At 49.6% G+C, this 19,306-nt stretch overlaps 1 protein-coding gene and 2 long non-coding RNA genes across 3 annotated transcripts, besides 4 other annotated features; 2 read left to right on the top strand and 1 right to left on the bottom strand.

Annotated features, from left to right (window-relative positions):
• Nucleotides 4,506–4,800: an enhancer, noted in NCBI's record as "tiled region #1439; K562 Activating DNase unmatched - State 8:EnhW". NCBI's record gives its function as "activates a minimal TATA promoter and a strong SV40 promoter by Sharpr-MPRA in K562 cells {active_cell/tissue: K562}" and the evidence as "EXISTENCE:reporter gene assay evidence [ECO:0000049][PMID:27701403]".
• On the top strand, nt 6,994–11,711 carry ZG16 (zymogen granule protein 16). The gene is made up of 4 exons (NM_152338.4): nt 6,994–7,044; nt 7,998–8,059; nt 8,243–8,375; nt 8,842–11,711. The coding sequence occupies exons 2-4, from the start codon at nt 8,005–8,007 to the stop codon at nt 9,155–9,157; spliced, it is 504 nt and encodes a 167-aa protein (NP_689551.3). The 5' UTR covers nt 6,994–7,044; nt 7,998–8,004; the 3' UTR covers nt 9,158–11,711.
• Nucleotides 11,705–14,071, bottom strand: LOC124903675 (uncharacterized). Its single transcript, XR_007065048.1, has 2 exons — nt 13,695–14,071; nt 11,705–11,992 (listed from the first exon to the last, which is right to left on the bottom strand). It is a non-coding gene; the product is annotated as an uncharacterized LOC124903675 (long non-coding RNA).
• Nucleotides 13,024–13,163: a silencer, noted in NCBI's record as "silent region_7333". NCBI's record gives its function as "represses an Ori minimal core promoter by ATAC-STARR-seq in GM12878 lymphoblastoid cells {active_cell/tissue: GM12878}" and the evidence as "EXISTENCE:reporter gene assay evidence [ECO:0000049][PMID:35858748]".
• Nucleotides 14,020–14,109: an enhancer, noted in NCBI's record as "active region_10674". NCBI's record gives its function as "activates an Ori minimal core promoter by ATAC-STARR-seq in GM12878 lymphoblastoid cells {active_cell/tissue: GM12878}" and the evidence as "EXISTENCE:reporter gene assay evidence [ECO:0000049][PMID:35858748]".
• On the top strand, nt 16,251–16,861 carry LOC105371167 (uncharacterized). The gene is made up of 2 exons (XR_950983.1): nt 16,251–16,284; nt 16,660–16,861. It is a non-coding gene; the product is annotated as an uncharacterized LOC105371167 (long non-coding RNA).
• Nucleotides 18,900–19,299: an enhancer, noted in NCBI's record as "active region_10675". NCBI's record gives its function as "activates an Ori minimal core promoter by ATAC-STARR-seq in GM12878 lymphoblastoid cells {active_cell/tissue: GM12878}" and the evidence as "EXISTENCE:reporter gene assay evidence [ECO:0000049][PMID:35858748]".

The following is a 19,306-nucleotide window of genomic DNA, read 5'->3' on the forward strand; positions in this document are numbered from 1 at the left end:
AAGTGCTGGGATTACAAGCGTGAGCCACCGCAACTGGCCAAAACATTTTTATTATTTTATTTTATTTATTTATTTATTTGAGACACGGTCTTACTCTGTTGCCCAGGCTGGAGTGCAATGGCATGATCATAACTCTCTACAGCCTCAAACTCCTGGGCTCAAGCAATCCTCCGACCTCAGTCCTCCAAGTACTGAGACTGCAGGTGTGTACCACTATGCCCAGCTAATTTTTTTTTTTTTTTGAGATGGAGTCTCGCTCTGTGGCCCAGGCTGGAGTGCAATGGTGCGATCTCTGCTCACTGCAGCCTCTGCCTCCCGGGTTCAAGCCATTCTTCTGCCTCATCCTCCCAAGCAGCTGCAGCAGATTACAGGCATCCACCACCATGCCCGGATAATTTTTGTATTTTTAGTAGAGACAAGGTTTCACCATGTTGGTCACGCTGGTCTCGAACTTCTGACCTCAAAGATCTGCCTGCCTTGCCCTCCCAAAGTGCTGGGATTATAGGTATGAGCCACAGTGCTCAGCCCTCAAATAATTTTTTTAAATTAGTTTTTTAGTTTTTGTGGGGATGGGTGGGGGGGGTCTTGCTATGATGACCAGGCTGGTCTCAAACTCCTGGCCTCAAGCTATCGTCCTGCCTTGGCCTCCCAAATTGCTAGGATTACAGGCATGAGCCACAGGTGTCGGAAACCTTCTGGATGGGGGTGGAGAGGCAGATCCCCACCACAGGTCTGAAATTGCATCAAAACTTTGAAAAGAGGGCAAAGCTGCTTCACCTGAGAGAGGGAGGAGCTTTCAGGGGAATTCTAGATGGGAGGGGAGAAGGTCACACCACATCTGCCATGCCTGTCTCCACTCTTACCCTGCCCAAGTCCCTCCTCCACTTTATCAAAATCAGGAGAGAGCAATCCTTCTAAAATGCAAATATGAGCATGTACCCCTCTGTTCAAAACCCTTCCATGTCTCCCCTCACTGTGAGAAAAGAAGCCAAACTCCTCCAGGCCGGGCGCGGTGGCTCACACACCTGTAATCCCAGCACTTTGGGAGGCCGAGGCAGGCGGATCACGAGGTCAGGAGTTCGAGACCATCCTGCCAACATGGCGAAACCCCGTCTCTACTAAAAATACAAAAATTAGCTGTGCGTGGTGGCGCATGCCTGTAATCTCACCTACTTGGGAGGCTGTGGCAGGAGAATCGCTTGAACCAGGGAGTCAGAGGTTGCAGTGAGCTGAGATTGCATCACTGCACTCCAGCCTGGTGACAGAGTGAGACTCCATCTCCAAAAAAAAAAAAAAGCCAAACTCCTGACCACACCTCTCAGGCTCTGCACACTCTGCCCACTGGCTGCTGCCCAGGCCTCACAGGTCGGCTTCCCTCATTTCCCTCCAGCCACCCTCCTCTCTTCATTATTTCCAAATTCATCACACTTTCAGCTTGTTATCTATGGCAGATAACCTCATTATGGCAGAAAATAAGACTGAAGCATGTGACCAAACATAGACAGACTTTTTCACAAGATAGTCAGTCTCTTGGGCTTATTCAAATTCCAAAGAGAATCATTTACAAGTTAATTCCTATCTTTCGGGTCCATTCATTTCTCCTTTTAAAATATTTTTTTTTTGTTTATTTATTTATTTATTTTGAGACGGAGTCTCGCTCTGTCACCCAGGCTGGAGTGCAATGGCATGATCATAACTCTCTGCAGCCTCAAAATCCTAGGCTCAAGCAATCCTCTGACCTCAGTCCTCCAAGCACTGAGACTGCAGGTGTGCACCACTATGCCCAGCTAATTTTTTTTTTTTTTTTGAGACGGAGTCTCGCTCTGTGGCCCAGGCTGGACTGCAATGGTGTGATCTCTGCTCACTGCAGCCTCTGCCTCCCGGGTTCAAGCGATTCTTCTGCCTCAGCCTCCCGAGTAGCTGGGATTACAGGCACCCGCTACCGTGCCCAGCTAATTTTTTTGTGTGTGTTTTTAGTAGAGATGGGGTTTCACCATTAGCCAGGATGGCCTTGATCTCCTGACCTCATGATCCGCCCGCCTCGGCCTCCCAAAGTGCTGGGATTACAGGCGTGAGCCACTGCGCCCGGCTATTTTTTTGAAACGGAGTTCTGCTTTTGTTGCCCAGGCTGGAGTGCAATGGTGCAATCTCGGCTCACTGCAACCTCCACTTCCCTGGTTCAAGCGATTCTCCTGCCTCAGCCTCCCAAGTAGCTGGGATTACATGCATGTGCCACAACACCTGGCTGATTTTTGTATTTTTTAGTAGAGACGGGGTTTCACCATGTTGGTCAGGCTGATCTCAAACTCCTGACCTCAAGTGATCCATCCGCCTCGGGCTCCCAAAGTGCTGGGATTACAGGTGTGTGAGCCACTGCACCTGGCCCCATTCATTTCCCCACAAAATCACATACTACCTCTCAACATTGCTGCACCCCCATTTCCCCTCCCCTGTGAAGAAGGCAGCTACATAAGCATCTGGACCACGTTGGGTTATTAGGTCATCGTTCTCCTGTGGTTTCCTTATGCTTGTACATGTGACATAAATTTTGTACACATTTTTCTCCTATTAATTTGCCAATTGTCAGTTCCTTTTTGGGGAGCCTTTATAGGGCTAGAGAGCAGAAAGGAAGCTTTCCCTTGGCCCTACAGCTCCTTGAGGTCGGCTGTTGACTCTTTTCTTCATTGCTGTCTCTTCAGCGTCTAGAATGGTACCTCCAATGTAGAGATGCTTGATAAACGTGTTGAGCCGGGCACAGTGGCTCACGCCTGTAATCCTAGCACTTTGGGAGGCTGAGGGTGGATCAAGAGGTCAGAGTTAGAAACAAGTCTGGCCAACATGGTGAAACCCTGTCTCTACTAAAAATACAAAAATTAGCAAGGCGTGGTGGTGGATGTCTGTAATCCCAGCTACTTGGGAGGCTGAGGCAGGAGAATCGCCTGAACCCGGGAGGTGGAAGTTGCAGTGAGCCAAGAAAGGGCAGCAGAGCAAGACCCCATCTTGAAAAAAAAAAAAAAAACAAGCAAACAAAAAACAAAAACAAACAAAAAAACATGTGTTGAGTTGCTTTCTGTTTAGTAGCAGAAAGCTCTGGAAGGGCTTTGGACATTCACGCGTGCAGGCCCGGGAACGGGATGAGGTTTAAGGCAACTTCATCTAGAGTTTAAAAGGGGCAGGTAGGCCCACAGCTGGCACGTGGGTTAAATGTAAAGTGGCTCAAACAGGATCTGATAAGGCAGAAGCAGAGATGGGGGCCTGGTGTCTCACTGCCTTCACGTTCTTCCTTCTGCCTCAGTCCCCACATGAGAGTGCACCCTAGAGGTGCCAGCATTAGCGATAGGGCAGCTTTCCTTGTTTCTGGGATGGACAGAAAATGGGCCTTGAGACCCCTCCCATCATAGGAAAGCATCTCTTGCACTCTGGAGACTGAGGACTTGCTATAGTGGAACAAGAAGCAGTCTTCGGCAATGGAGGAGATGCTGGATCTCCATACAGGCAGGGTGGGTGCAACGGAGTGGAGCTGTGGCAAATGTGGGTGCCTCTGTCCTGAGGGTCCTGGATGTGTCATGCCTGGGAACATGAGGGCGTTCTTCCAAGGTGCCCATCTCGACCTCTCTGAGCTGCCATCTTTGACTTCCTGTGTTTGGTCACAGACTAGGGGTGGTCTGTCCCTAAACAGAAGAAGACAAGCAAGGATTAGAGAGGAGAAAGAGCTAGAGAGAGAGCTTGGGAGAGATGTAGGGACAAGGAAAGAAGAGGCAGAAGGAAAAAGGCATGGAGGGAAGGAATATAAAAAAAAACCCCTTAGGCCAGGCATGGTGGCTCACGCCTGTAATTCCCGCACTTTGGGAGGCCAAGGTGGGTGGATCACCTGAGGTCATTTCAAGACCAGCCTGGCCAACATGGTGAAACCCCATCTTTACTAAAAATACAAAAATTAGCCAGGCATGGTGGTGGGTGCCTGTAATTCTAGCTACTCCGGAGGCTGAAGCAGGAGAATCGCTTGAACCCTGGAGGCAGAGGTTGCAGTAAGCTGAGATCAGGCCACTGCACTCCAGCCTGGGTGACAGAGCGAGAATCTATCTCAAAAAAAAAAAGAAAAAAGAAAAAAAGGCCGGGTGTGGTGGCTCACGCCTATAATCCTAGCACTTTGGGGGGCTGAGGAAGGTGGATCACAAGGTCAGGAGATTGAGACCATCCTGGCCAACATGGTGAAACCCCATCTCTAGTAAAATAGAAAAAATTATCTGGGTGTGGTGGTGCGCACCTGTAGTCCCAGCTACTCAGGAGGCTGAGGCAGGGGAATTGCTTGAACCCTGGAGGCAGAGGTTGAAGTGAGTCGAGATCGCGCCACTGCACTCCAGCCTGGCAACAGAGCAAGACTCCATCTAAAAAAAAAGAAAGAAAGAAAGAAAGAAAAATCCTCCCCAGAGCAGGGAAAGATGAAGACATAAAGGGAAGGAGAGTCACCAGGAAAGAGAGAGGGAGAGAGACACAAAACAAAATGGCTGGAATGAGGTGAAAGTTATAGTAGCAGGATGTGCTGACACTGACCTTGGAGAAAAAGAGAGGGGAAGGGAGGAGTGAACGTGGAATCTTTGGCTGCTGTTCTGTTTCACTCCCAGAACTCACCACCCTGGATTCCCCCCATTTCCAGATCCTCAGGCGGGACTGCCTTTGCTATCTGGGATGAGTCATTGGCCCCAGATGGTAAACCTGTGAGGGGTGGGGTGCTCTGAATGCCTGACTAGTCATTTATAATTGAGAGCACTTATTCCAGCCCCTTCTGGTCCTCCATCCTTCCCTCTTCTTGGACCTCCTGATTCAGAGAGGTCAGAGGGCCAGTCCAGGAGGGGTCAGGCACTAGGTCCCTGGAGTCAGTCTTAGGGATTTTAGGCAGAGAGGAATCAGTCCTGAAAATGAAGGGCATACAGAGAAAAAAAAAACTATGACATCACCCCTGGGGGTGTTACAGACCTAAGAAAGAAGCAATGGCCCTGGGCGGCCTACAGCCCCAGGAAGATTCAGCCATGGTACCCAGGAGACTTGAGGGCCCAAAGCCCAGAATTACCCCCAGAGGAACACCTGTAGACCTTCGGATCCTTAGCTTTGCACTTCCCATTGGACTGACTCTGTTTCCTGTGGGGCAATAGGCACGTGTTCACTGTGCACCTGCAGCCCCAGTCATCCTTCTCAGAGAGAAATGGTTTGGGAAGTGTTTGGCATATTGGGGATAAATAGATGAGTGGATAGAAAAAAAAATGCAGGCCAGGCACAGTGGCTCACGCCTGTAATCCCAGCACTTTGGGAGGCCGAGGTGGGCGGATCACGAGGTCAAGAGATCGAGACCATCCTGGCAAACATGGCGAAACCCTGTCTCTACTAAAATTACAAAAATTAGCTGGGCGTGGTGGCGCATGCCTGTAATCCCAGCTACTCGGGAGGCTGAGGCAGGAGAATCGCTTGAACCTGGGAAGCAGAGATTATAGTGAGCCGAGATCGCGCCACTGCCCTCCAGCCTGAGGGATAGAGCAAGACTGTGTCTCCAAAAAGAAGAAAGAAAAAAAAGCAATTACAGCAAAATATTAACCATAGTAGAATCTATACAGTGGTTATATAAGTGTCCACTATACAATTCTTTTTTTTTTTTTCCTTTTTTTGAGACTTGATGTTTCGATCATGGCTCACTGCAACTTTGACCTCCTCAGCTCAAGTGATCCTCTTGCCTCAGCCTCCTGACTAGCTGGGATCACAGGTGTGCACCACCATGCCTGGCTAATTGTTTTATTTTTTGTAGAGACGAGATCTCCCTATGTTGCCCATGTTGGTCCTGAACTCCTGAGCTTAAGCAGTCCTCCTGCTTTGACCTCTCAAAGTGCCGGGATTACAGGCATGAGCCACTGCACCCAGTCTTGCTATACGATTCTTTTGTTTTTTTTTTTTTTTTTTTTGAGATGGAGTCTCACTCTGTCGCCCAGGCTAGAGTGCAGTGGAGTGATCTCAGCTCACTGCAACCTCTGCCCCTCAGGTTCAAGTGATTCTCCTGCCTCAGTCTCCTGACTAGCTGGGATCACAGGCACCTGCCATCACACCCAGCTACTTTTTGTATTTTTAGTACAGATGGGGTTTCGCCATGTTGGCCAAGCTGGTCTCAAACTCCTGACCTCAGGTGATCCAGCTGCCTCAGCTTCCCAAAGTGTTGGATTATGGGTGTGAGCCACTGGGCCCAGCCACTGTACAATTCTTTAAACTTTTATATGTGTTTGGATTTTTCATAATATTAGAAAAGGGAAAGAAAAAAATGTCTGGCAAATAGTCAGCACTCGTAAGTATAAGATTTTGGGAATATATTCCCTTCTGGGAGAATCCACATTTCGAATGCCTGGGAAGGGCTCTGTTTGTCCTGACAGATGGCAGATTTCAGGTGAGAGCACCTACTAAGCCTAGAGGTGATAAGCTACTTTGCCCACCTAGAGCTGCTGGTGGTGACCTTAAGTTTACTATGTTTCTCCTGGTATACGGCACTTGGCCCAGAGTGGACTCCAGCTTGCCACCTGTCACCCAGGCTGGAGTGCAGTGGCGTGATCTTGTCTCACTGCAGCCTCAACGTCCTGGGCTCAGGCGATCTTCCCTACCTCCCTCCTGATTAGTTGAGGCTACAGGTGCTCGTCACCATGCCCGGCTAATTTTTGTTTTTGTTTTTTGTTTTGGTAGAGATGGGGTCTCACACTCTTGCCCAGGCTGAGCTAGAACTCCTGGCCTCAAGCGATCTGCCTCTGCCTCCCAAAGCATTGTAATGACAGGTGTGAGTCACCATGCCCAGCCAGGAACTCAGAGAATCTTACCCTATGCTGTAGTATCTGTTGACTATGGGGTAGAGGCAGGATAAGGTGTTCCAGACCCTGCCTGACACCTGATCCGAAGAGGTTGCTCATGTTTGCTCAGGAGGTGAGGTTCACACAATAAAGGGCAGGAGGAGGGCTTGGACCTGGTATAAAACATCTGGAAGTTTCCAGGGGGCTGCTTTGCATCTGAAACTGTCAGGTGAGGGGTGACAGAGATGCCTGAATCTGAGTTGGGGGGGAATTCAAATCTGAGCTGGCGAAGAGGATGCCTGGAAGGAATGGCAGGAAAGACTTGAGTTAATTGGCGCTTCTGGGTCTGCAGTAATCTTAGGTGCAAAGCTGTCTAGGTCTCTGCTGAAGGACTGGGGACACCTGGGATGTTCAGGAGAATAGAAATGGCCAGATGTGTGTTAGTGGAGAAAAGAATAGTGACACATAGACCAGGCACCTGGGGTCTAATATCTTGAGCTGGTCCCGACTCCTTCTGCAACTTCTCTGTCTGTCCTAGTTCCACCAGCACTGCTTGGATACTGGTGCTGGCACAGTTCCTTCTGTCACCAACTTTGCTCCCCAGGTAACATAGAGGCAACTCTAAAATGCTTCTTTCCTTGAGACCAGGTGGATGCCAGGGATTTAAACCATGCTCCAGGTGCCCCATAATCCAGGCCAATTCACCACAGATGATGAGGCTTTCTTTGCTCAGCCTCTGGGCTCAGTAAACTCAGCCATCTCTTTGCTTGGGAGAGGTCCTCTACTCCCTCCTTAGAAAACTCGTTTCCTGGCTATGGCCATACCAACCCAAATGTACCTGGGCTTGGCTGACTTCAGAAAACTTTTCTGCTTTGTGCCAGGATGGAATAAGGCTTAATCCAGATAGTTAGAGTTCATCTTCAGGCCTGAGAGAAAAAGAGGAGGGCTTGGCTACAGCCAGACCAGGGAGAGCTGGAGGGGTCAGGGACATTGAAGGTAGCATCAGAGAGGAACAGGACTACAGGCTATGGACAGTCCTTTCTAAGCTCAAGACTGGGTCTGCTAGGTCTAAGTTGAAGGACGAAGAAGGCTTGGTCTGAGCTGCAGGTCAGGAGTGCCTGGGTCAATCAAGTCAACAAGGAAGAAGGTGAATCTTCATTTGCTCTTTTCTTCCCACTCCAGCCCCAGAATGTTGACAGTCGCTCTCCTAGCCCTTCTCTGTGCCTCAGCCTCTGGCAATGCCAGTAAGTGAGATACCAGGAGCCTGGTATTGGGGACTTGGGAAGGCAGCCTTGGGCACTGCTGTTGGCCAAGGCTTTTGGAGGTTGGCTTGGGGTGGGGAGCTGAGTTGTCGGAGGAACAGGGGTGATGCAGAGAAACTGAACTCCTGGAAGATTTCTCCCTCCAACTCCTGCTTGCCCCTCCAGTTCAGGCCAGGTCTTCCTCCTATAGTGGAGAGTATGGAGGTGGTGGTGGAAAGCGATTCTCTCATTCTGGCAACCAGTTGGACGGCCCCATCACCGCCCTCCGGGTCCGAGTCAACACATACTACATCGTAGGGTAAGATTCTTTGAATTCCTGGCTGGGCGCGGTGGCTCACATCTGTCATTACAATGCTTTGGGAGGCAGAGGCAGATCGCTTGAGGCCAGGAGTTCTAGCTCAGCCTGGGCAAGATGCCAGGGATGCCAGGGATTTAAACCATGCTCCAGGTACCAAGACCCCATCTCTACCGAAGAAAAACAAAAAAATTAGCCAGGCATGGTGGTGAGTACCTGTAGCCTCAACTACTCAGGAGGGAGAGGCGGGAGGATTGCCTGAGCCCAGGATGTTGAGGCTGCAGTGAGCCAAGATCATGCCACTGCACTCCAGCCTGGGTGACAGAGTCTCTTTGTTGGCAAAATGAGTTGAAGTTCCCTGTAGGATCTTCCAGGGTTCACCCAGGCTTCACAGTCTGTAGGACTAGCCAGAGACCTCTCATCCCTATCATCACCTTTCTTTCTCCTTCCTTCCTCCCCTCTTCCTCAGTCTTCAGGTGCGCTATGGCAAGGTGTGGAGCGACTATGTGGGTGGTCGCAACGGAGACCTGGAGGAGATCTTTCTGCACCCTGGGGAATCAGTGATCCAGGTTTCTGGGAAGTACAAGTGGTACCTGAAGAAGCTGGTATTTGTGACAGACAAGGGCCGCTATCTGTCTTTTGGGAAAGACAGTGGCACAAGTTTCAATGCCGTCCCCTTGCACCCCAACACCGTGCTCCGCTTCATCAGTGGCCGGTCTGGTTCTCTCATCGATGCCATTGGCCTGCACTGGGATGTTTACCCCAGTAGCTGCAGCAGATGCTGAGCCTCCTCTCCTTGGCAGGGGCACTGTGATGAGGAGTAAGAACTCCCTTATCACTAACCCCCATCCAAATGGCTCAATAAAAAAAATATGGTTAAGGCTAGTCTGTGTGGGGGCATCTGTGGCTGGGATATCTGCCTCCTGACTTAGCCGGGGACGTGCAAATCTCACTTCTGGCTGGCTTTGGACATCTGTCTGGAAGATGGGAAGATGAGGGAGAGGTATGTAAGAATCCTGGGCTTTGTGCTATAATTTATCAAGAGGAGATGAGATTCTGGCTTGCATCAACGCTCTTCAAGGACAGCTCCTTGGAACATTGATCCAAACTGGAGTCATGGGTCTGAGGGCAAGGCCTAGTTGTGGCTTACACCAAAACCCCAGATGTCCCACTCTCCAGCTCTCCTCACCCCTGGTCCTCCCCTTGAGAAAGTGGTGAACTCACTTGCTGTGTGTGGGTGGCCAGGACCATTAGCCTTTGTTCTTTCCCAGAACCCACCTGACTCCTGAAACTTAGCTGAAGTCTGTGCCCGAGGACCCTGCCCTGTTACCAGGCCCAGTTCCTCCTCACCTCTACCCATGAGCCCCGGTGTCCTGCTAAGCCCTCTCAGATCTGGGATTCCTCCTTCCTCAGGAAGCCACCACCTTCTCAGCAGTGGAAACCCTGCCCACACTATGCTCTTAGGCTTTAGCCATCAGAAGGTTACAGTGGACTGCGGGAGGCTGACACTAGGCTGAACTCATTAAGGAATGAATGGGAGGTGAGAAGACACAGGCAGCAAGAATCGAGTGTTTCAAGAAGTTTGGCTGTGGTTTGCCAGAAATAGGCAAGTCAGTTTTCGGGGGTGTAAGGAAAAAGGGTTTTGTGTCTTTTTAAAATCCTAGACAGGAGAGTCACAAGCATGTTCACATGATAAAGAGGAAGAAAGAGAAAGAGGCTGGAGATTCTGAAAAGAGATCACTGGTGAGGTCTCAAAAGAGATAGAAGAGGATGGTTATGTAGTTGGGGAAAGAAATTTTAAGAAGGGAAGAAAATTAAAATGAGTGAAGGTATACGTTAGTTTTGTAAAAGTTATCAATATCTGGCTGGGCACAGTGCTCACACCTGTAATCCCAGCACTTTGGGAGGCCAAGGCAGGCAGATCATTTGAGGTCAGGAGTTGGAGACAAGCCTCCAACATGGTAAAACCCTGTCTCTACTAAAAATACAAAAATTAGCCAGGTGTGGTGGCAGTCACCTGTAATCCCAGCTACTTGGGAGGCTGAGGCATGAGAATCACTTGAATGCTGGAGGCAGAGGTTACAATGAGTTGAGACAGCACAACTGCACCCCAGCCTGGATGACAGAGTGAGACTCCATCTAAAAAAAAAAGGAATGTTATCAGTATCAAAATGGAGTAACATATGTCACATCCTAACAAAATGGAACCAACCTGACACCTAAATTAAGCATTGCACCTGATAACACCATGGAGGACTGGGTGGAGAATCAGCAGACAATGGCAGGGAGAGGCAGTCTGTGGACCAAGTTCAGGTGAAAGGATCACCCATCATGTTGGGCATCAGATCAGGCAGGTTCACACACTACCTGAGGAAGCTGGTCTTTGTGACAGACAAGAGCTGCTCTGCCTCTTGGGAAACACAGGCACCAGTTTTAGTGCCATCTTCTTGCACCCAAATGCTGTCCTTTAACTCATCAGTTACAGTGCTGGATCCCTCATCACTGCCAATACGGGGCTAGCAATATGTCTGCCCCAGTGAATGCAGCCGCCACGGAGCCCCAGCCTCCTCTATGGCAGGGGCCCTGTGGTGGGGAATGAGGACTTCTCTATCATTAACCTCCATGCAGTTGGCTCAAGAAAAGGATATGGTAGTTGGGCAAGGGGGCTCACACCTGTAATCCCAGCACACTTGTAATCCCAGGAGGGTCGCTTGAGCCCAGGAGTTTAAGGCCAGCCCGGGCAACATAGCAACCTGTTTGTAGGCAAAATGAGGAGTTGAAGTTCCCCGTAGGATCTTCTAGGGCTCAACCAGCCTTCATGTGCAGTGGGACTGGCAAGAAATCTGTCATCCCTGTTACCACTTTGAAGGTCTCAGTGTGTATGCAGGTCCTGAAAAGTTCAAGTCCCACCTGAAACGCAACACAGCATCATGCTCTGATTCATCAGTGATTCCCTAATCAATGCCATTGGCTTGCATTGGGACTATCTATCCCAGCCTATCCAGTGACTTCAGCAGCTGCAGAGCCCCAGCCTCTTCTTTGGCAGGGGCACTGTGGTGAGGAGGAAGGATTCCCTTATCACAAATCTCCATCCAATTGGTTCTATAAACAGATATGGTGGCCCAACTGTTGCGGGAAGTCAGGGACCCCGAACGGAGGGACTGGCTGGAGCCACAGCTGAGGAACATAAATTGTGAAGATTTCATGGACATTTACCAGTTCCCAAAATTAATACTTTTATACTTTCTTATGCCTGTCTTTACTGCAATCACTAAACATAAATTGTGAAGATTTCATGAACATTTATCAGTTCCCAAATAATACTCTTATAATTTCTTATGCCTGTCTTTATTTTAATCTCAATCCTGTTATCTTCATAAGCTGAGAATGTACGTCACCTCAGGACCCTGTGATGATTGCATTAACTAACAAATTGATTGTAAAACATGTGTGTTTGAACAATATGAAATCTGATTGTAAATGTGCATTTGAACAATATGAAATCAGTGCACCTTAAAAAAGAACAGAATAACAGTGATTTTAGGGAACAAGTGCAGAGGTTACAATGAGTTGAGATAGTGCGACTGCACTCCAGCCTGGATGACAGAGCGAGATTTCATCTAAAAAAAAAAAAAAAAGAATGTTATCAGTATCAAAATGGAGTCACATATGTCATATCCTAACAAAATGGAACAAAAAGGGAAGATAACCATAAGGTCTGACTGCCTGCGGGGTCGGGCAAAAAGAGCCATATTTTTCTTCTTGCAGAGAGCCTATAAATGGACGTGCGAGTAGGAGAGATATCGCTAAATTCTTTTCCTAGCAAGGAATATTAAATATTAAGACCCTAGGAAAAGAATTGCATTCCTTGGAGGAGGTTTACAAATGGCCACTCTGGGAGTGTCTGTCTTATGCTGTTGAGATAAGGACTGAAATATGACCCGGTCTCCTGCAGTACCCTCAGGCTTACTAGGATTGGGAAATTCCAACCTGGTAAATTTTGGTCAGACCGGTTCTCTGCTCTCGAACCCTGTCTTCTGTTAAGATGTTTATCAAGACAATACATGCACAGCTGAACATAGGCCCTCATCAGTAATTCTAATTTTGCCCTTTGTCTTGTGATCTTTGCTTTGCCCTTTGCCTTGTGATCTTTACTGGCCTCAGAAGCATGTGATCTCTGTGACCTACTCCCTGTTCGTACACCCCCTCCCCTTTTGAAATCCTTAATAAAAACTTGCTGGTTTTGCGGCTCAGGTGGGGCATTATGGACCTACCGATATGTGATGTCACCCCCCACCAGCCCAGCTGTAAAATTCCTATCTTTGTACTCTTTCTTTTTATTTCTCAGACCGGCCAACACTTAGGGAAAATAGAAAGAACCTACGCTGAAATATTGGGGGCTGGTTCTTCTGATACCCAACACCATGGCTCACAGCTGTAATTCCAACACTTCCAGAGGCCAAGGCAGGAGGATCACTTGAACCTTGGAGTTTGAGGTTGCCATGAGCTATGATTGTACCAGTGCACTCCGACCTGGGTGACACAGTGAGACCTTGTCTCTAATAAGAAGAAAAAAATGCCATTTTAAAAGTGTACACTTTCATGGTTTTTAGTATATTCACTGTATTGTACAACCATTACCACTACCTCATTCCAGAACACTTCCACCACCCCCAAAAGAAAGCAGTTACATCTGTTCACTGTAGTGCCAATTACTCAACCCCTTGTCATCCCCTGGCAACCACCACTCAGGTGTACTTTCTATGTCTGTGGGTTTGCTATTGTAATTTGAAAGTTCACTGATGTTACTTTAATTTGGTTTCATTTTGAATACAGTAAATATGGATCAAAACCCATATATACGGAGCATCTTTAGAGGCCTCATTTTTGTTTTTTTTTTTTTTTTTGAGATGGAGTCTTGCACTGTTGCCCAGGCTGGAGTGCAGTGGCGTGATCTCGGCTCACTGCAACATCCACCTCCCAGATTCAAGCGATTCTCCTGCCCCAGCCTCCCCAGTAGCTGGGAATACAGGCGCCTGCCACCACACCCTGCTAATTTTTTTATTTTTAGTAGAGAGGGGTTTTCACTATGTTGGCCAGGCTGGTCTTGAACGCCTGACCTCGTGATGCACCTGCCTCGGCCTCCCAAAGTGCTGGGATTACAGGCGTGAGCCACCACGCCCAGGCTAGAGGCCTCATTTTTTAAGACTAATGGGATCCCAAGGCTAAACGTTTGAGAAACACTGATCTAAGATTTGTGTTTTGTTTTGTTTTGTTGTTCAATCAAGTGGAACATAATGTCTAAACCAGGGCCTTACCTACCTGGAACTCAAAGGTGGAATGACCTTCCCTGGCCAAGCTTCCAGAAGGGACAGGGAGCTACTTAACAGACTGCTGGACCCTTAACGACTGGAAACCGGAACCGTGGGTGACGGAACCGACCAGACGTGACAGCCCTTTGGCTGGGGCTGCAGTCCCACGATCCACACAACGACTCTGGCTCCGCAGACGCGCCAACCACCCACGGAGGCAAGAAACTGCCGAGAGTGAAGGGAAAGGGAGCCCAGTGCTGGGCGGCACTCAGCAGCTCCCCCAGCGGCCACTGTCGCCAACGTCTCCGCGTCGGGGTTTGTACCGCAGCTCGCGTCCAGTCGTCAATGGCTGCGAGGCCCATGCGCGCTCCAGCGTCCTGACCAGGGGAACGTTTTCCTTAGGGACCCGGAGGCGAGCGCTGGAGGGAGGGATGGTTGCTAACGCAACTCTCTGCAGGGCAGACCCACCAGCACCCGCACGCAAACTACGGGCTGGAGCAGTCTAACAGAAACTCTCTCAAAGTCGCTCACGGGTTGCCATTCTAGGTAAGATTTGTGAATAAAACTAATTCTTTAAAAGCCTGAGTTTTTCTTTAGTTGACAGTTTTAATTAACATACTCTTTTCTTTCCTCTTCTGCAGACCCAGCCTCACCATTCCAATGAAGACATCAATTAACCCATGCACAGCCGCTACAAACGGGGAGCTCATTGCCTGCAGGGAAGGACCCTCTACAGAGAGCTACCTGGGGGCTGGGAAGCAGGACCCCAGGCTGAGTCCTGCCTTTTGGTAGTGCCCCGCCCCGGCCAATGCGGCTGTTATATCAAAGTACATAAAAGTGAAGGCAAAGGGTGTCCACGTGGGATAGACTGGCATAGCTTCCTGGCCACCCATGGTGCTCCATTATCTCTTCGAGGACCCCTTCTCCACGAGACCCTCCAGGTCTGGTCCTCTATCGTCCAGCCCCCATTCTCTTCTCCATCACTGCTGCTGTGTCCCAGATGACCTTAATTTAATCTTCACATATTTGAAGGACAGAATCATCGGCCTCACCCACTAATTATTATTATTATTATTTTATTTTATTATTATTATTTTTTGAGACGGAGTCTCGTTCTGTCACCCAGGCTGGAGTGCATCACTGCAAGCTCCGCCTCCCAGGTTCACGCCATTCTCCTGTCTCAGCCTCCCGAGTAGCTGGGACTACAGGCGTCCGCCACCACGCCTGGCTAATTTGTTGTATTTTTAGTAGAGACGGGGTTTCACCGTGTTAGCCAGGATGGTCTCGATCTCCTGACCTCGTGATCTGCCCGCCTCGGCCTCCCAAAGTGCTGGGATTACAGGCATGAGCCACCGCGCCAGGCCTAGACCCACTAATTATCTTTTATGGCACAAACTCTATGTTTTACTTTTGCCCAGGCTGGAATACAATAGCGGCATGATCTCCGCTCACCACAACCTAGCCTCCTGGGCTCAAGTGATCCTCCCACCTCAACTTCCCAAGTAGCTGGGAGTACAGGCATGCGCCACCACACTTGGCTAATTTTAAAATGTTTTGTAGAGAAGGGTCTCACTAGGTTGCCCAGACTGGTCTTGGACTCCTAGACCCAAGCTATCCTCCCACCTTAGCCTCCCAAAGTGCTGGGATTACAGGAATGAGCCACTACATCTGACCTCCTTTGCTTCTTTTAAAGACATAGTTTGGAATTTTTTTTTTTTTTTTTTTTTTTGAGACAGAGTCTCACTCTGTCGCCCAGGCTGGAGTGCAGTGGCGCCATCTCGGCTCACTGCAAGCTCCGCCTCCTGGGTTCACGCCATCCTTCTGCCTCAGCCTCCCGAGTAGCTGGGACTACAGGCGCCCGCCCCACACCTGGCTAATTTTTTGTATTTTTAGTAGAGACGGGGTTTCACCGTGTTAGCCAGGATGGTCTCAATCTCCTGACCTTGTGATCCGCCCATCTCGGCCTCCTAAAGTGCTGGGATTACAGGCGTGAGCCATCGTGAGCAGCCTTTTTTTGAGGAGTCTCCAACTGTCACCCAGGCTGGAGTGCAGTGGTGCCATCTCGGCTCACTGCAAGCTCTGCCTCCCGAGTTAACGCCATTCTCCTGCCTCAGCCTTCCGAGTAGCTGGAACTACAGGCACCCGCCACCACGCCCAGCTAGTTTTTTGTATTTTTAGTAGAGACGGGGTTTCACCGTGTTAGTCAGGATGGCCTCGATCTCCTGACCTCATGATCTGCCTGCCTCAGCCTCCCAAAGTGCTGAGATTACAGGCGTGAGCCACTGCACCCGGCCTGGAAGTTATTTTTTAAAAATCAATTGTTTCTTTCTCTGTCATCCCAGCAGGAGTGCACAGGCATGACCTCAGCTCACTGCAACCTCCACTTCCTGGGTTCAAGCGATCCTCCTGCCTCAGTCTCCCAAGTAGCTGGGACTATAGGCACATGCCACCACATCTGGCTAATTTTTTTTCTTTCAGATGGAGTCTTGCTCTGTCCCTCAGGCTGGAGTGCAGTGGTGCAATCTCAGCTCACTGCAACCTCCAACTCCTGTGTTCAAGTGATTCTCCTGCCTCAGCCTCCTGAATAGCTGGGATTACAGGTGTGTGCCACCACGCCGGGGTAATTTTTGTGTCTTTAGTAGAGACAGGGTTTCCCCATGTTGGCCAGGCTAGTGTCAAACTCCTGACTTCAGGTGATCTGCCCGCCTCAGCCTCCCAAAGTGTTGAGATTACAGGCATGAGCCACCACGCCTGGCCAAACCACCCTAATTTCTACCAGCCAGATGCAGATCCTTAAAACAACCCTAGGAGGTATTTCAACCATTATTCCCTTTTAATATCTGAGGAAATGGAGGCACAAAGAGGCTAAATCTCTGGTCTGGGCAGCCTGGCACCAAGGCCCTGTACCTAAATGGTTTATTCAAACATAGAAGCCCTATCTCCTTGATCTATGCTCTTTTCACTATTTCTGGCAGGTTTCTTACCAAATATCTGGAGTTGACAACAAATGTGAAAACTGAACAGCCTTTTCTGACAGGCAAGGAAGACCAAACTGCCAATTGCCAATGTCAGATGTTCTCAAAGTATGGTCCAGAGACTTCTGGGAGTCCCTGAGACACTTTCAGTGGGTCTACAAGTTCAAAACTATTTTCATAATAAAACTAAGATACCAATTGACTTCTCTTGCATTGTTTCTCAAGTATATAGTGGAGTATTCAAAATACTATATTATATGTGACATCACAACAGCATGAATGCAGAAGCAGATATGAGAATCTAGTTTTTTTGTGTGTCTTTGAGACAAGGTCTCCCTCTGTCACTGAAGCCAGAGTGCAGTGGCACCATCACGGCTCACTGCAGCCTCAAACTCCTGGGCTTAAGCAATCCTCCCACCTCAGCCTCCCAAGTAGCTGGGAATATAGGTGTGTGCCACCATGCCTGGCTAATTTTATTTTTTAAGAGATGGAGGTAGGCCAGGCACAGTGGCTCACGCCTGTAATCCCAGCACTTTGGGAGGCCGAGGCGGGTGGATCACGAGGTCAGGATATCAAGACCATCCTGGCTAACACGGTGAAACCCCGTCTCTACTAAAAATACAAAAAATTAGCCGGGCGTGGTGGCAGGTGCCTGTAGTCCCAGCTACTCGGGAGGCTGAGGCAGAAGAGTGGCGTGAACCCGGGAGGTGGAGCTTGCAGTGAGCCGAGATGGCGCCACTGCACTCCGGCCTGGGCCACAGAGCGAGACTCCGTCTCAAAAAAAAAAAGAGATGGAGGTCTAGGCAGGGCTTGGTAGCTCACGTCTGTAATCCCAGCACTTTGGGAGGCCGAGGCGGATGGATCACCTGAGGTCATGAGTTCAAGACCAGCCTGACCAACATGGAGAAACCCCGTCTCTACTAAAAACACAAAATCAGCCATGCACGGTGGTGCATGCCTGTAATCCCAGCTACTCGGGAGGCTGAGGCAGGAGAATTGCTTGAACCCAGGAGGCGGAGGTTACGGTGAGCTGAGATTGCGCCACTGCACTCCAGCCTGAGCAACAGAGAGAGACTATGTCTCAAAAAAAAAAAGTGCACACCTCTCTGGTTTTTAGTATGTTTATTACGTTACGCAGCCATCATCACTACTTCATTCCAAAATATTTAATATTTCCATCACCCCCAAAAGAAACTCGTTATATCTATTGCTGTAGTGCCAGCTCCTCAGCCCCTCACCATCCCCTGGCAACCACTACTTAGATGTCCTTTTTATGTCTATGGGTTTTTTACTGTAATTTTTAAATTCATTAATGTCAACTTTAATTTAGTTTCACTTCACACACAGTATATACGGCCAGGCCTGGTGGTTCACACCTGTAATCCCAGCACTTTGGGAGGCCAAGGCGGGTGGATCACTTGAGGTCAGGAGTTTGAGACCAGCCTGGCCAACATGGTGAAACCCTGTCTCCATAAAAATACAAAAATTAGCTGAGCGTGGTGGTGCACACCTGTAATCCCAGCTACTCGGGAGGCTGAGGCAGGAGAATCACTTGAACCCAAGAGGCAGAGGTTGGAGTGAACCGAGATTGAGCCACTGCACTCTAGCCTGGGAGATGGAAGTGAAACCCCGTCTCAAAAACAAAAAAACAAAAACCCTCATATACACAAAACATCTTTGGAGGCCTCATTTTTAAAAACTGTAGTGGGATCCCAAGGCAAAACGTTTCAGAAACACTGATCTAAGATTTGTGTTTTTTGTTTTGAGACGGAGTCTCACTCTGGCGCCGTGGCTGGAGTGCGGTGGCACCATCTCGGCTCATTGCAACCTACACCTCCCGGGTTCAAGCGATTCTCCTGCCTCAGCCTCCCGAGTAGCTAGGACTACAGGCGTGCCACCATCCCCGGCTAATTTTTGTGTTTTTAGTAGAGACGGGGTTTCGCCATGTTGGCCAGGCTGGTCTCGAGCTCCTCACCTCAGGTGAGCCTCCCGCCTCAGCCTCCCAAAGTGCTGGGATTACAGGACTGAGCCACCGCGCCCGGCCCGTGTTTTGTTTTGTTGTTCAACAGGGTGGAACATAATGTCTAAACCTGGGCCCTACCTACCTGGTGCTCAAAAGTGGAATGACCGTCCCTAGCCAACCCTTCAGAAAGGACAGAGAGCTACTCAACGGACTGCTGTACTCTTAAGGACTGGGAACCGGAACCGTGGGTGAGTGGGACTGAATCACAGACTAAGCGTTTTCCACGCTTCGCCGACGTGCTGAGTGCCAAGTTATAAAGACAGGAACATCCAAGCTGCTCTCCTGGGCTGACACGGACGCGAGGGGACCTACAGTGGCCTTGGGCCCAGCAGGCAGCGACTGCAACGTGACTGCCCAGAGTCCAGCCCCTGGGGCCCAGATCTACAGAACCGACCAGACGTGATAGCCCTTTGGCTGGGGCTGCAGTCCCACGATCCACACAACGACCCTGGCTCCGCAGACGCGCCAACCACCCACGGAGGCAAGAAACTGCAGAAAGTAAAGGGAAAGGGAGCCCAGTGCCGGGCGGCGCTGAGCAGCTCCCCCAGCGGCCACCGTCGCCAACATCCCTGCGTAGGGGTTTGTATCGCAGCGCGCTTCCAGACATCAACGGCTGCGCGGCCC

This window comes from Homo sapiens, chromosome 16 (assembly GCF_000001405.40).
Source record: "Homo sapiens chromosome 16, GRCh38.p14 Primary Assembly".
Lineage (NCBI taxonomy): Eukaryota > Metazoa > Chordata > Mammalia > Primates > Hominidae > Homo > Homo sapiens.

Bases quoted from the DNA above. Each gene is read 5' to 3' on its own strand.
- ZG16 (NM_152338.4), top strand. From the start codon at position 8,005: ATGTTGACAGTCGCTCTCCTAGCCCTTCTCTGTGCCTCAGCCTCTGGC. The intron at 8,060-8,242 runs GTAAGTGAGATA...TTGCCCCTCCAG, and splicing joins CTCAGCCTCTGGCAATGCCA to TTCAGGCCAGGTCTTCCTCC. The intron at 8,376-8,841 runs GTAAGATTCTTT...CCTCTTCCTCAG, and splicing joins AACACATACTACATCGTAGG to TCTTCAGGTGCGCTATGGCA.